This window comes from Homo sapiens, chromosome 8 (genome assembly GCF_000001405.40).
Source record: "Homo sapiens chromosome 8, GRCh38.p14 Primary Assembly".
NCBI lineage: Eukaryota > Metazoa > Chordata > Mammalia > Primates > Hominidae > Homo > Homo sapiens.
The window spans coordinates 125,398,663-125,414,633 of record NC_000008.11 but is presented as its reverse complement, the minus strand read 5'-3'; the positions used below and the strand labels follow the sequence as shown (position 1 = coordinate 125,414,633).

General features: G+C 51.1%; 2 annotated features.

The window, feature by feature from the left end:
• Positions 8,549-9,235: an enhancer, noted in NCBI's record as "H3K27ac-H3K4me1 hESC enhancer chr8:126417641-126418327 (GRCh37/hg19 assembly coordinates)". NCBI's record gives its function as "activates a minimal SCP1, AML or CMV promoter by ChIP-STARR-seq in naive H9 embryonic stem cells {active_cell/tissue: H9 hESC(naive)}" and the evidence as "EXISTENCE:reporter gene assay evidence [ECO:0000049][PMID:30033119]".
• Positions 9,236-9,923: an enhancer, noted in NCBI's record as "H3K27ac-H3K4me1 hESC enhancer chr8:126416953-126417640 (GRCh37/hg19 assembly coordinates)". NCBI's record gives its function as "activates a minimal SCP1, AML or CMV promoter by ChIP-STARR-seq in primed H9 embryonic stem cells {active_cell/tissue: H9 hESC(primed)}" and the evidence as "EXISTENCE:reporter gene assay evidence [ECO:0000049][PMID:30033119]".

Here is a 15,971-nt window from a genome sequence, read left to right as displayed (position 1 = left end):
GGCAACAAGAGCAAAACTCACTGCAGCCTCTGCCTCCCGGGTTCAAGCCATTCCGTCTCTAGTAGCTGGGATTACAGGTATCTGCCACCATGCCCAGCTAATTTTTGTATTGTTTTACTTTTAGTAAAAACAGAGTTCCACCATGTTGGCCAGGATGGTCTCAAACTTCTGGCCTCAGGTGATCCACCCGCCTCAGCCTCCAAAAGTGCTGGAATGACAGGCATGAGCCACTGCGCCCGGCCCACTCTCCAGTTCTTTATCTAGGAGTTGCTCTGGTTTACCTTGATAGGAGTTAAGAGCTTGGGGTGCTCTCACAACCCATGTCTCACCCTATGGTCAGCCCCCTGGTTTCCCCCACCAAAGGCCAATCACATGCCCTGGGGGTGGAATTTCTGCTTTAACTCTGACAGCAGCCTCATTTCCAAGTTCTTGGGAGCAGGGGTGTGCTGGTGAATGTGGGAACAGTTGATTCTGGTGGCAGTGTTTGCCGATTTCCACGGTGTAAATGCTCCCACCCTGGCCCATTTGAATCTGCTCACGTGAGGTCAGTGTGCACAGAGTTGGGCAGCTCCAGCACACACACCGCTGCCTAGGGGGCACCTCTTCATTGCCTTCAGTGGTGACAACGGCCAGTCTCTTATCATCTATTCTGAGCTCACATCTCAAATGATGTTTATGAGAAAATGGCTCACAGGGTAGGAGAGGGTTAAAAATATGTTATGGCCCCTGGGTGGGAACCTGTGTGCAAACAGAGGGCATGGGAAAATCTTGGGGGTGCCAGGTCCTGGAAAGATCCCCTCCTTCACTTGTTCCCAGGCTGGGAGGATGAATGCCACCGTGGATAATAAGTGGAAGTAGGACTCTGCTCAACTCTCACTGCCCTCTCCAGGAGGGGCCCTCCCCCCTTCACCTCTGCACAATCGCTTCCTCTGTTCCTGGAGCTCCAGAGCTCAGCTTCCCTCAGAGTCCCATCCAAGCTGGAGTCAGGATAAAGGCCACCATTGACGGGCACTTCCTCTGCACCCCGCACTGGGCTGGGTCCTCCAGACTCGATTTTCATTGAATTCACACCACTGCCCCACGGACTTAGTGGGCGTAGTCTCGTCACAAAGATGAGGTTTAGAGAGGTCAGAGAAATGGTTTCAAGGTTGCGGTGGCAGGCGTGGGATTTCCACGGTGCTTCCGGGGTCACATATGACACTTGGAGTCACAGAATAATAATAATAATGACCATGGCTAGTGTTTACTAAGAACTTAATTTTCTTTCATTTATTCTGTTTTTTATATATATTTTTTGAGACAGAGTCTCACTCTGTCACCCAGGCTGGAGTGCAGTGGCACAATCTCGGCTCACTGCAACCCCTGCCTCCTGGGTTCAAGTGATCCTCCCACCTCAGCCTCCCGAGTAGCTGGAACTACAGGCGTGTGCCACCATGCCTGGCTAATTTTTGTATTTTTAGTAGAGACAGGGTTTCACCATGTTGGCCAGGATGGTCTCGAACTCCTGACCTCAAGTGATCCATCCACCTCGGCTTCCCAAAGTGCTGAGATTACAGGCATGAGCCACCATGCCTGACCTGAGGACTTAATTTTGGAAGTGAGGATGTACATGCGCGTGGGCTGATTCAATCCTCATCACCGCTCTATGACATAGGGATAAACTATGGTTCCCACTCTGCAGATGAGGAACCCCAGGCTCCAGGAGGGGATGCATTGTGTGCTGTGTTACAGCGGCAGGGCAGGACTGAGAGCTACTTGGGGTTGGAGGGGTGGGCAGGAGAGCTGCTGCCCAACTCATTCAGGCACCCCCCTCCCTACTTCACTCCCCAGTCTTCCTTTGGTTCCTGGTCTCTCCCTACCCCTCCAGAGGACTAGCACTTTCCCCAGCAGTGTTTGGGGTAGATCCAAGGTCCCGAAGTTCCTGCCACAGGCACTGTCTGCGTGATAGGAAAGGAAATCTCTGTCCTTCCCCTCGGTGCCCAACCTCCCGTTGGCTAAGCCGGCACCTGGGCGGGCAAGAGGGTAGAATGAGGCTATTCAGAGAGTTTTCCTGATGCAATAACTGATTGCAAAACCCTTGCATCCCTGAGCGTTTTATGGAGGTTGGTAATTCTAAGTGGCACCAGGAAATCCCAAACTCACCCAGCTGCCAGAACACAGCCCTCCAGGTCAAACCACAGGGAAGAACAGTTACCCCAAGGCTAGGCGTCAGAGAAACAAAGGGAGCACCAACAATAACCCCATGAGGATCCAGCTCTTCATGCCCCTAATCCCATTTGCTCCACAAGGTCCTCTCAGGTGGGAGGAGCAAACCCAAGTCTCAGTTCACAGATGAGAACACTGATTTGTTCGAGGTCGCTGGATAAGTAAAGGATTCTGACTTTCAGACTCCTGGTCTAGTGCTCATTTCTCCACAGTTAGGGCCCTACACTGGAGACAATGGGTGATGCTATTAGGAGGGGCGAGAGAATGGCAGAGGTGACAGGAAGAGAGCAAGTGCAAGGGGCCTGTAGCCACACTGACCCAACTGCAAATCATGGCTCTGCAGCATCAGGCAAGTCACTTAACCTTTCTGGGCCTTCCTCCTCCACACAGGGGACAGGGAGATAGTTAAGAGTTTCCACTCTGAAGTCAGAATGGCTGGGTTGTAATCCTGGCTGCACTACTTACAGGCTAAGCTGTGTGACCTTAGACAAGTCGCTTAACTTCTCTGTGGCTCAGGTTCCTTATCTGTCAAATGACCCTTTTAAAACCCACCTATAGGCTTGTTGTGAGGATTTTCTTAACTAATGCAAGTAAGGCTCTTAGCGTACGCCTGGCTTATGGTAAACAGTTAATCAATATCAGCCCTTAATATTGCCTGCAAAATGGATAAGAAAAGAGCTTTTGTTTTTGTTTTTGTTTTTTGTTGTTGTTGTTTTTGTTTGTTTGAGACGGAGTCTAGCTCTGTCGCCCAGGCTGGAGTGCAGTAGCATGATCTCAGCTCACTGCAACCTCTGCCTCCTGGGTTCAAGCAATTACCTGCCTCAGCCTCCCGACTATCTGGAGTTACAGGCACCTGCCACCATGCCCGGCTAATTGTTGTATTTTTAGTAGAGATGGGGTTTCACCATCTTGGCCAGGCTGGCCTTGAACTCCCAACCTCGTGATCCACCTGCCTCAGTCTCCCAAAGACAGGCTGAGTCACCACGCCCGGCCAGAAAAGAGCTTTTGTAGGTTCGGTGTGGTGGTTCATGCCTGTAATCCCAGCACTTTTGGAGGCCGAGGTGGGCGGATCTCTTGAGGTCAGGAGTTCAAGACCAGCCTGGCCAACATGGTGATAACCCATCTCTACTAAAAATACAAAAATGAGCCACGTGTGGTGGCACACACTTGTAATCACAGCTACTCGGGAGGCTGAGGCAGGAGAATCGCCTGAACCTGGGAGACGGAGGTTGCAGTGAGCCGAGATTGTGCCACTGCGCTCCAGCCTGGGCAACAGAGAGAGACTCTGTCTCAGAAAAAAAGAGCTTTTGTAAATTAAAGGAAACAGCACATTTAGGGGGATGGGGGAGGGTGTGGTTGAGGGGAAGTGCAGGAGAGCTCTCCCTCCACAGATTGAATTGGAATCTTCCAGAAAGGAGAAGGAATCACAGTAAGGGGACCCAGGCTGGCCCTGGGCCGGCTCTGGGATATTTCCTTCTGTAGCACCCACTGGCCTTCACCTTTGTGCTCTATTCACTCTACCTTGCGTTCAATCCCACCCCCTTCAGCCACTCCTCCCTCCCCGCAAAGATTCCCTTGGGAGAATTACCTCAAGCTGGAAATCTTCCTGGCCAGGGTAGTGAGAGGGCAAAAATGTAAATACACATTGGCCTTGGAGTTTCATAACTGCCGTGAGTCACTTCCCTTCACAGAAGACATGGCAGAGGGACAAGCGCTCTGAGTCCTATCAGTGAGGGTGGACTTAGGTGCGTTTCCAGGCATTCTTCACTGGAGTCCGCTCCAAGTTCTCTCCACCGGAAGGATGTGCTGTGGATGTTTGTGCTGAAGGCATGTCAAGGTTCAGAAGAGGGAACAGAACCCCCCTGGACCCAGGTCACAAATTTCCCTCATCAAACATCATTTCTGTCTTCTTAATTCCTGGCCACTGAAGATCCTTTCCCAGCTGCCTCAGAGGCCTGGCAACTTGCCATGTATTCATTAGAAATTCTTTAGTTTGCGAGTAACTGAAATTATAGTATTATAATAAATAGGGGTTTATTTTCTCACATTGAAAGAAATTCAGAACAGAAGAACTGTTCTTGCATTTTTGGCAGCACAGTGACGTCGAAGCCAATCATACTATGATTCTGTTGGTCTTTCCCTCAAGGTTGCAAGATGGCTGCTGCAGCTCCACATATTACATCCACTCTCGAGGCAAAAAAGGAGAGAAGAGCACAAAATGGTGGTGCTGTTGGTGTCTGTTCCTATGTCCATTATCTATTGTTGCACAAACGACCATGGCCAAATTTAGAGGCTTTTTTGTTTTTTAAGATGGAGTCTCACTCCGTCGCCCAGGCTGGAGTGCAGTGGTGCGATCTCGGCTCACTGCAAGCTCCAGCCTCCCAGGTTCACGCCATTCTCCTGCCTCAGCCTCCCGAGTAGCTGGGACTACAGGCGCCCGCCACCACGCCCGGCTAATTTTTTGTACTTTTTAGTAGAGACGGGGTTTCACCGTGTTAGCTAGGATGGTCTCGATCTCCTGACCTCGTGATCCGCCCATCTCGGCCTCCCAAAGTGCTGGGATTACAGGCGTGAGCCACCGCGCCTGGCCAATTTAGAGGTTTTAAAACAACAGTCTTTATTAGCTCACAAGTGAGAGTCAGCATTCTGGGGTGGGATCGGCTGGCAGTTCTTTTACTCTTAACCAGGTTCACCCATGCAACAGCAATCAGTCGATGGCTCAGTGGAGGCTGTCTTGTCCAAGACAGCCTCACTCACATATCTGGTGCTGGGCTCTGGCTGTTGGAGACGTGAGTGCAGAAGCACAGGTCAGAGTGAGCATGGAAGCATTCCGTGAGCCAAGAAAGGCTGGAAAAGGCAAGGAATGGCTTCTCCCCTGAAACCTCCAGATGCAATGCAATCTTGCCAACACATTGATTTTACCCCAGTAAGACCCATTTTGGACTTCTGGAGTCCACAACATCAGAACTGTAAGATAATCGATTGATGTTGTTTTAAGCCACTAAGTTTGTGGTAGTTGGTTGCAGCAGCTATAGGAAACTATCTCTCTCCCTCCACTGCTCTCTATATTTCTTTTTTGAGATATAAAAAATACAGGCGTGAGCCACTGCGCCTGGCCTATATTTCTTTTTTGAAAGTAGAGAGATTAGGCCGGGCGCAGTGGCTCACGCCCGTAATCCTAGCACTTTGGGAGGCCGAGGCGGGCGGATCACGAGGTCAGGAGATCGAGACCATCCTGGCTAACACGGTGAAACCCCGTCTCTACTAAAAATACAAAAAAATTAGCCGGGCATGGTGGTGGGCGCCTGTAGTCCCAGCTACTCTGGAGGCTGAGGCAGGGGAATGGCGTGAACCCGGGAGGCGGAGCTTGCAGTGAGCAGAGATCGCACCACTGCACTCCAGCCTGGGCGACAAAGCGAGCCTCCGTCTCAAAAAAAAAAAGAAAGTAGAGAGAGTAGGTGGATATATTACAACTTAAAAAATGGGGTTTTAGGCCACCCCAGACCTATAATCCCAGTACTTTGGGCGACAGGTGGATCGATCACTTGAGCTCAGGAGCTCAAGACCACATTGGGCAACACGGTGAAACCCTGTCTCTACAAAAAATACAAAAATTAACCAGGTGAGGTGGTGCGCACCTGTAGTCCCAGCTACTTGGGAGGCTCAGGTGGGAGTTTCACCTGAGCCCAGGAGGTGGAGGCTGCAATGAGCTGTGACTGTACCACTGCACTCCAGGCTGGGCGAGAGTGAGACCCTGTCTCAAAAAAAAAAAGAGAGTTTTTATATATGTATGTGTATATATGAGTGTGTGCAAACATATATACCTATATATACTTAAGCTATTTTATAATAAAATATTAAAAGAACATACAAAAAATAATTAAAGAGTTGTGATGATCAAACATGAAATAGTCAGGCATGAACTCAAGCTCCAGTCTGTAGGACAAGTTGCTCGGGGTCAGACCAAGTGCAGCTGCCATGGATCCAGGGCTCAGTAATCCAGTGGACACCTATGTGTCAGGCTTGAAGCTTGACCCTAGAGCATCTTTTTTTTTTTTTTTTTTTGAGACAGAGTTTCTCGCTTGTTGTCCAGGTTGGAGTGCAATGGTGCAATCTCAGCTCACTGCAACCTCCGCCTCCTGGATTCAAGCAATTGTCCTGCCTCAGCCTCCTGAGTAGCTGGTATCACAGGCATGCATCACCACGTCTGGCTAATTTTTGTATTTTTAAGTAGAGATGGGGTTTCACCATGTTGATCAGGCTGGTCTCGAACTCCTGACCTCAGATGACCCACCCACCTTGGCCTCCCAAAGTGCTGGGATTACAGGCATGACCCACCGCGCCCAGCCACCCTGGAGCATCTTAAGGGAAGGGGAAAGCTTCGTCCCAGGAGTTCAGAAAAAGAGAAGCACAGTGGGGGTCTAGCCTGGAGAAGGAGCTGAGGTCTGGGCTTGCGCGTGGCAGACCAGGGGCAGGTGAGGGACAGGCCATCTCCTCCAGACAGCACCCTCTCCTTCCTCCACGGACTATTCAGGGGTGTTTGTCCTGTGCCACCCAGGATGCTGATAGGCACAGGGGCTTGGAGTCACCAGGCCTGAAGCTCTAATTAGTACTTCTTTTTACAAATTAGAAATACAATTAACTGGCCCGGCGCAGTGGTTCATACCTGCAATCCCAGCATTTTGGGAGGTCAAGGCGGACAGATCACTTGAAGCCAGGAGTTCGAGACCAGCCTGGCCAACATGGTGAAACCCCATTTCTACTGAAAATATAAAAATTTACTGGGCATGGTAGAGCATGCCTGTAATCCCAGCTACTCAGGAGGCTGAGGCAGGAGAATCGCTTGAACCCAGGAGGAGGAGGTTGCAGTGAGCTGAGATCACACCACTGCACTTCAGTTTGGGCGACAAAGCGAGACTCCGTCACAAAAGAAAAAAAGAGAAAGAAAAAGAAATACAGTTAATTGGTATGAATTGTATAATTATATTAATTGTAATAATTGTGTAGGACCCTGGGTTTTACCAGCTACTAGTTGTGTGACTGCACAAGTTCTATGTTAGCCTCTCAGGGTCTGGGTTTCCTCATCTGTAAAATGGGTATCAAACACTCAGCCTGCCTCCCTCACTGGGTTGCTATAGGGAGTAGAAAAGATAGAGGGTGTGAAAACCCCACAGCCAGGAGAAAGATGTTCCCTCTGCGTGAATGGAGGCTTTCCACTGATTTGTCCACAGGCACTCCTCTCAGATTAGAGGGGGCCCTCTGATAAACTGGTTTTTACACAGCAGCGTGCACCAGCTTTCTCCACATCACACGGGCACTGTCCTCTGTGCTTTGGGAAAAGCCAGCAGGGCTGAGGCAGCCAGGAACAGAGCTGGGACGCCAGTCCACTTCCACCCACCCATCCAGGGATTTATTCAACAAACATTTCCTGTGCACCTACTATGTGCCAGGCACCAGGATCAAGGACAGTGAAGCAAACAACCGTCTCTGCCTTTAAGGTGTGTGCAGTGGCGGGATGGGTGCCGGGGAGAGAGCTGTGGAACCCCAGTAGCTCCAAGACCTTCCACTATCTTTTACTCTTATAAGTTCGGCAAGAGAGTTTCCATGTTCAGACCATTCCGTTTGCTGCTTCTTCCAAAGGTTTCTTCATTTGGCCTCTTTGGGGAGGAAGGGACACCTACAGAAAATCTTGAAGGCTAATTCGGATGTTCCCAGCTTGGGAGGGAATTCCAGTAGAGGGGACAGCCTAGTTAACGTCCAGAGGCAAGATCATTTAAAGTTTACCAAGATTCTGTAGGGAGAGCTCCAATGACCATGAGGATCTTTTTCCTGTTATTTCATTGAGATTTAAGTTAGAGCTCGGCCAGGCGTGGTGGCTCATACCTATAATCCAGCACTTTGGGAGGCTGAGGCAGGCGAATCACTTGAGGTCAGGAGTTCGAGCCTGGCTAACATGGTGAAACCCTGTCTCTACCAAAGGGGAAGCTCAATTCTGAGGTTGAGTAGGAGGAGCTGGAAAAGATCAAGCTCAAGTTCTGCCACAGGTGCAAATCCTTAATTCTAAGCCTCCATTTCCTCGTCTGTAAAATAGGCTTGTTGCAGAGTTGTCCACATAATGAAATGAGAAATGGGCATAATAAGTTTTCTTTTTATTTATTTATTTTTTGAGACGGAGTCTCACTCTGTCTCCCAGGCTGGAGTGCAGTGGCACAATCTCAGCTCACCACAACCTCCGCCTCCCAGGTTCAAGCGATTCTTGTGCCTCAGCCTCCTGAGTAGCTGGGATTACAGGCGTGTACCACCCCACCTGGCTAATTTTTGTATTTTTAGTAGAGATAGGGTTTCACCATGTTGGCCAGGCTGGTCTCGAACTCCTGACCTCAGGAGATCCTTCCGCTTCGGCCTCCCAAAGTGCTGGGTTTCAGCCACAGTGTCTGGCCTGACATCGTAAGTTTTTGATCATTGTTTTTAGTGGAACTGCTCAAAAATGGACCTCCTCAGGGAGGATGTCCCCCAAATACCAGCGGTTAGTGGATGCTTCATCAGGAATTGGAGGAAATTGTGGACAGTCTGAGTAGGTAGCAGAGGGGGTGCCCCTGAACCTTATCTTTGGCAGCTAGAAGCAGCAGTTCCCCCACCTTCTGACCAGCCCAGGGAGTCCATTTCCCTGGCTCTTTCATATTCCTTAGGTGGGATCCATCCCTGCCAAGGCCCGTGTCCAGCAGGCCTAAGTCACTCACTACAGAACAGTCCCCTGAACTGGGGCAGTAGCCAGACTTGGAGGCAGGCATTGAGAACATTCCCAGAGGCTCCTGGGCCATCTGGTCACCTCCCACTTCTGCAGAGCCCTGCTCCAAACACCTTCATCATCAGCATCATTGTCATCATTGTCCCGTCTGCATGTTCTGAGCTCCCTCCTTGTGGCAGGCCCTTGGCAGACACTCAGATCTCACAAAGCCCTTTAAAGCGGACTCCTCGCTCCCTCTGTCCTCAGGAGTCTCAGCGCTGTGAGTAACAAGGCCAAGGCCACGCAGCCGCTGGAAGCACAGAGTCGGGCCCTGCCCGTAGCCATCAGTATCCTGTATCCGTCTGACTGCAGAGCCAGAGCTTTAAACCCCGTTAGTCCCCATGTGCTCTGGCCCCTCTGCCCCGAAGAGAGCCAGGAAGTGGCGTGGGGTCTGAGTGCACTTCCCAGGAGGGGCCTGAGCAGAGTAGGAAGAGCTGAGCCTCCTGTGAACTGACCTGCAGGTGACTCAGAGCCCCTCTGCCAGCTCCTCCCGGGAAGCACTAGGTGGGTTGTGGCCCATTGTCGTTCACCCAGCACAGGAATCCGTGTGAGTAACTGCGGAACAGAAAGGCTGTTGAAGGGGGCAGTTCCCGGGTAGAGGCACAGACGTGGGTTGGGGAATATGAGGTGTCTTTCCGGAGCCAGGAGGGCAGAGCTCCACCTTGTCTGAGGCAGACAGAGAGGGAGAGAGCCCGAGGGCCTCTGCCCAGCACCCGGGGATGCTCAGCAAGTGGATTCGGAACACCGCCCGTGTCTCAGACACGGGGGACACGCAAATGTGTCTCTAAGTCAGGGCACCCTCTGTGTGCACAGAGCCATCGAGGGCACTCGCCTGGCTGGACCCCAGGGAAGGAAATGGGATGGCTTAGTGGAGCAGCCCAGTGTGACTTCCCAGAGCTGACTTCCCAAAACATGCCACGTCCTCATCAAATAAAATCAAACCCAAACCCCTCTAGGCTGCTGCGCCTGACCTTGCTTACTCTAACCTCATCTCACCATCATGCTCCAGCCATGCCTTCTTCTCTATGTAATAGTGCTGGGCACTTTCTGCCACAGGACCTTTGCACACGCAGAGTCCTCTTCCAGGGGCCTCTTCCTCACCACCCACCCCTCTGCTTCTCCCCACCAACTCCTACTTCCCCTTCAGGTTTCAGCTACAGTCCCGCTTCCCTGAGCCCCTACACTAAACTACCTGGACCACTCTGTTACTCCTGCTCCCAGTGATCGCCTTTGCATCACTGACCGTCATAAGAAAATTCTTTGTGCAATTATTTGCTTAGTGCCTGACACTCCCCACACACGATACAAGTGCCGTCAGACTAGCGGCCATGTCTGTTTCATTTACCAGTGCATCCTCCATCATCCTTTGTTGATAAGAAGGAAGGAAGGAAGGAAGGAAGGGAGGGAGGAAGGCAGGAAGACTGGAAGGTAGGCAGGGAGACAGGCAGGAAGGAAGGGAGGGAGGGAGGGAGGAAGGGAAGGAGGGAGGGAGGAAGGAAAAAAGGAAGGAAGGAAAGAGGGAGAGAGAGAGACAGGAAGCACTGCCTCCAGGCTTACAGCAGCAGATGGTCTCACCCCCCACCCGTCTGCTTTTTTTTTTTTTTTTTTTGAGACAGAGTTTCACTCTTGTTGCCCAGTTGCTTAGTGCCTGACACTCCCCACGCACGATACAAGTGCCGTCAGACTTTCTGCAATGGCATGATCTCAGCTCACTGCAACCTCTGCCTCTCGGGTTCCAGCGATTCTCCTGCCTCAGCCTCCCGAGTAGCTGGGGTTACAGGCATGCGCCACCATGCCCGGCTAATTTTTTTGTATTTCTTAGTAGAGACGGAGTTTCTCCATGTTGGTCAGGCTGGTCTCGAACTCCTGAGTCAGGTGATCCACCTGCCTCGGCCTCCCAAAGTGCTGGGATTACAGGCGTGAGCCACCGCGCCCTGCCCGTCATCTGCTGTCTTTCCTTCCCTGGAGTGTTCAGCCACAGCTGGATGCAGGCTCCTCGGGTGGGAAGGAGGAGGCAGAGAAGGGCAGGCCAGAGTCCATCTCCAGAAGAGCCCAGCCCTGAGCGGCCCCTTAGGGGCAGCTTCCTGGCTCTGCCTCACAGCAGCTCCGAATCTAGAGTGAGATCCTTGATTTGAGGAGCCTCACTTGGCTCTTCTGTAAGGTGAGAGAGAGGTCTGAGCTTTATGCAAAGGCTTTATCTAAAGGCTGGTGCTCCAGGGCCACTGTCTCCTTCCATCCCCTGGAGCCCAGCCTCTATCCGGGCTTAGATAAAGGCTGTGCTCTAGGGGTGGGAAGGAGACAGCGGCCCCAGAGCACCAGCATTGTGCCTGGCCCCAAACAGGTGTTCAGTAACTGCGCTCCCCACCCCACTGCCGCCCCCCGCCTAGATGCTGCTCCTCACTCCTCACTGGCCCGGATCTCAGTCTTCCCACTACCACCTCCTGCAGACCAATGTCTGCATTCAGGTAGGGCCCATCTCTTTCCTTAGTGAATCCTCAGCGCATCACTCAAAGGCAGGCCCTGGGCCTGGAGCTGGTCAGGGGAGAGACTCCTCTTGTTAATTTTTTTTTTTTTTTGAGACAGATTCTTGCTCTGTCACCCAGGCTGGAGTGCAGTGGCATGATCTCAGCTCACTGCAACCTCAAGCGCCCAAGTTCAAGCAATTCTCCTGCCTCAGCCTCCCGAGTAGCTGAAATTACAGGCACGCGCCACCACGCCCAGCTAATTTCTTTGTATTTTTAGTAGAGACGGGGTTTCACCATGTTGGCCAGGCTGGTCTGGAACTCCTGACCTCAAGTGATCTGCCCACTGTGACCTCCCAAAGTGCTGGGATTACAGGTGTGAGCCACCTCATCAGGTCCCTCTTGTTAATTTTTAATCTGCACAAAGCCCCAGAGTCATCAGGCCAAGCTGACCCACAGCAGGGTCATCCCAAAGTTCCTGCCCTCACTGTTCCAGGCCATCCCCATGTGGCTTCTGGGACTGAAACACAGGGGTCATTACCTGGGACCAAGGCACAACAGATATTCTAAACATCATGGCCATTTTTCCATGAGATCATGAAAAATAAGCGATTCTTTTTTTTTTTTTTTTTTGAAATGGAGTTTCGCTCTTGTTGTCCAGGCTGGAGTGCAATGGCATGATCTCAACTCACCACAACCTCTGCCTCCTGGGTTCAAGCGATTCTCCCACCTCCGCCTCCTGAGTAGCTGGGATTACAGGCGCACGCCACCACGCCCGGCTAATTTTTGTATTTTTAGTAGAGACGGGGTTTCACCATGTTGGTCAGGCTAGTCTCGAACTCCTGACCTTGTGATCTGCCCGTCTCGGCCTCCCAAAGTGCTGGGATTACAGGCATGAGCCACCATGCCCGGCCCAATAAGCAATTCTTTTTATCCGGATTGCCCACTGGGGCCTGTGAGGTCCAACCCCGCCCTCAGAGCCAGGCCTGTGTCAGGTGAGATGCAAGGTGGAGGGGGACATGGAGGACTGGAGGAGCCTGGAGCCTGCATACCTGTCAAATTTTCTACATGCGCCCAAAGCCATTTCAGTGGAGTGAGTGACTCGCTGCCAAAAATAGGAGAAGGTTCCAGCACCCTGAAAATCACTGTCTTCCAGGTCAGGCCTCCACGCTGAGGCCCGGTGTACCTCTGGCTGTGGTGAGAGCCTGTTTCCTGCCACACGGGCCTTAGGGCCTTACATAAAGTTAGATTCCCAGGTAGAGGAGAGGGGTTTGGCTCCATCCAGCCGGTTATTGAATGCTGCTGTCCACAAGCCAGATGCTGGGGTACAGAGGCCAACTAGACACAGTCAGGCTCCTGGGTGTTTGTGGGGAAAGATGCTTTGACAGGCACTTGCAGAGTGTGGAAAGACAGAAGCAGGGGATTCTGGGGGCACAGGGCAGGGCTACCTCATAAACCCAGTTGAGATCAGGGAAAGCTTCCTGCAGAAGGTGGCAGCTGAACTGCATGCTGGATGCCAGGCAAAGAGACGGGGAACGGTGTTGCAGGCAAAAGAGGCTGCTTGGGTTCCAGAATGCTGGGTAGTTTGGTGAAGGGGAGGGGAGCAGGAGGGAAAGGGGAGGTGGGCAGAAAAGGCCACACTTGGAGGGGCTTGAGTACCAGAATAAGATGTACAGACTTTGTTCCAGAGGCCCTGGGGAGCAGGCAGGGAGATTGGCATGACTGGCCCTGTGATTCCAGGGTGGCTTTTTTATATTATTTGCTTAATTATTTGTTTATTTTATTTATTTATTTTTATTTTACTTTAAGTTCTGGGATACATGTGCAGAATGTGCAGGTTTGTTACATAGGTATACATGTGCCATGGTGGTTTGCTGCACCCATCAACCCATCATATAAGTTTTAAGCCCTGCATGCATTAGGTATTTGTCCTAATGCTCTCCCCGCTCTTGCTCCCAAACCCCCAGCAGACCCCGGTGTGTGATGTTCCCCTCCCTGTGTCCATGTGTTCTCATTGTTCAACTCTCACTTATGAGTGAGAACATGCAGTGTTTGGTTTTCTGTTCCTATGTTAGTATGCTGAGAATGATGGCTTCCAGCTTCATCCATGTCTCTGCAAAGGACATGAACTCATTCTTTTTTTGGTTTTTTATTTGTTTGTTTTTTGGTTTTGTTTTGTTTTGTTTTTTGTTGTTGTTGTTTTTTGGTTTTTGGTTTTTGTTTTGACAAAGTCTTGCTCTGTCACCCAGGCTGGAGTACAGTGGCACTATCCTGGCTCACTGCAACCTCCACCTCCCAGGTTCAAGCAATTCTCCTGTCTCGCCCTTCTGAGTAGCTGGGACTACAGGCGTGTGCCACCACACCCAGCTAATTTTTTGTATTTTTAGTAGAGACGGGGTCTCACCATGTTAGCCAGGATGGTCTTGATCTCCTGATCTCGTGATCTGCCCGCCTTGGCCTCGAAAAGTGCTGGGATTACAGGCGTGAGCCACCGCGCCCGGTGAACTCATTCTTTTTTATGGTCCAGGGTGACTTTTTGAAGCTACCTTTTATAATTTGTTTTAAAAACTTTTGTAGAGACAGTGTTTACTATGTTACCCAGGCTGGTCTCGAACACCTGGGCTTAAGCAATCCTCCTGCCTTGGCCTTCCAAGTGCTGGGATTACAGGTATGAGCAACTGTGCCTGGCCTAGAATTTTTTTTTTTTTTTTTGAGACGGAGTTTCGTTCTTTTTGCCCAGGCTAGAGTGCAATGGTGCAATCTCAACTCACTGCAACTTCTGCCTCCTGGGTTCAAGCAATTCTCCTGCCTCAGCCTCCCGGGTAGCTGGGATTACAGGTGCCTGCCACCATGCCCGGCTAATGTATTTTTAGTAGAGACAGGGTTTCACCGTGTTGACCAGGCAGGTCTTGAACTCCTGACCTCCAGTAATCCACCCGTCTAGGCCTCCCAAAGTGCTGGGATTACAGGGGTAAGCCACTGCGCCCAGCCAGAATTTTTTAAGAAGAGTTGAAAGGGCAGGTCCCCACCATCAAGCACTAATGAGGATGTGGAACCTCAGGGACACTCATCCATTGCTAGTGGGAGGAGACACAGGAACAGCCACTTTGGAAAACCATCTGGCAGCATCTACTGAAATTGAAGACACACAGCGCCATGCACAGCACTCAGCACGTGGTGAGCACTCAATGAACAGCCGGCGAATGCAGGAAGAAGGCGAGGAACACTGACCTTCATGGTGGGCGGAGAAGGAGCAGCCAGAGAGGTTGGTGGAGAGCTGGGTGGCTGCTGTGGTGGAGGGAGTGGGATGTGGAACTATTTGCATTCTTCCTTTTGATCCTCTTTTCCATACTCATTCATTCTTTTTTTTTTTAATCACAAATATTTCTCGAGCACCTCCTGTGTCCCAGGCACTGTGCTAGGCACTGAGTATCTGTCAGTGAACAGGAAAGGTGCCATCCTCATCCACACGAAGCCTGCAGCCTGAGATGGAAACAGAGAAACCAGTAGACCGACATGGACACACAGGTGACACATCCCCATTTGGGTATCTTCCTGGATGCTCCTGGGAAGTGGAGCCTATCAATGAAGGTCAGAAGAAAGGGGACCTGCCCAGGGTCACACGGCCTCTTCATTCTGGCTGCCACAGCCCAACCATGAACCCGTTCCGCACCTTGGTTAAAACCTTGGGGGAGCCGGGCATGGTGGCTCACGCCTGTAATCCCAGAACTTTGGTAGGCTGAGGCAGGAGGATCGCTTGAGCTCAGGAGTTCAAGAACAGCCTGGGCAACATAGTGAGACCCCGTGTCTACTAAAAATCAAGAAAATTAGCTGGGTATGGGGTCGCACATACCTATATTCCCAGCTACTCTGAGGCAGGAGAATCACTTGAGCCCAGGAATTTGAGACTGCAATGAGCTATGATGGTGCCACTGTGCTCCAGCCTGGGCAAAAAGAGTAAGACTCTGTCTCAAAATCAATGAATAAATTAATTAATTAAAATAAAAATTAATAAAAACCTTGGGGGAAAGTATGTAAGGAAGCTGCAGGGGGTAAGCCCTGGCTTGGGGTTTTGTAGAACTTTGGCTCTGCTCAGCAACACCATAGACAAGCACGGGGCCAGTCCAGCCAGGTGGGAGGGAGCCGGCTTGGCTGCATAGGCAGAGAAAGGGCAAACTGGGTCCCTGCACGGTGGCTCACACCTGTAATCCCAGCACTTTGGGAGGTGGAGGTGGAGGTGGGTGGATCACTTGAGGCCAGGAGTTCAAGACCAGCCTGGCCAACATGGAGAAACCTCGTCTCTACTAAAAAAAAAAAAAAAAAAAATTGCCAGGTGTGGCAGTGCGTGCCTGTAATCCCAGCTATTCAGAAGGCTGAGGCAGGAGAATGGCTTGAAGTTGGGAGGTGGGGGTTGCAGTGAGCTGAGATCAGGCCACTGCACTCCAGCCTGGGGGACACAGCAAGACTCTGTCTCAGAGAAAAAACAAACAAACAAACAAACAAAAAACAAAAAAAAG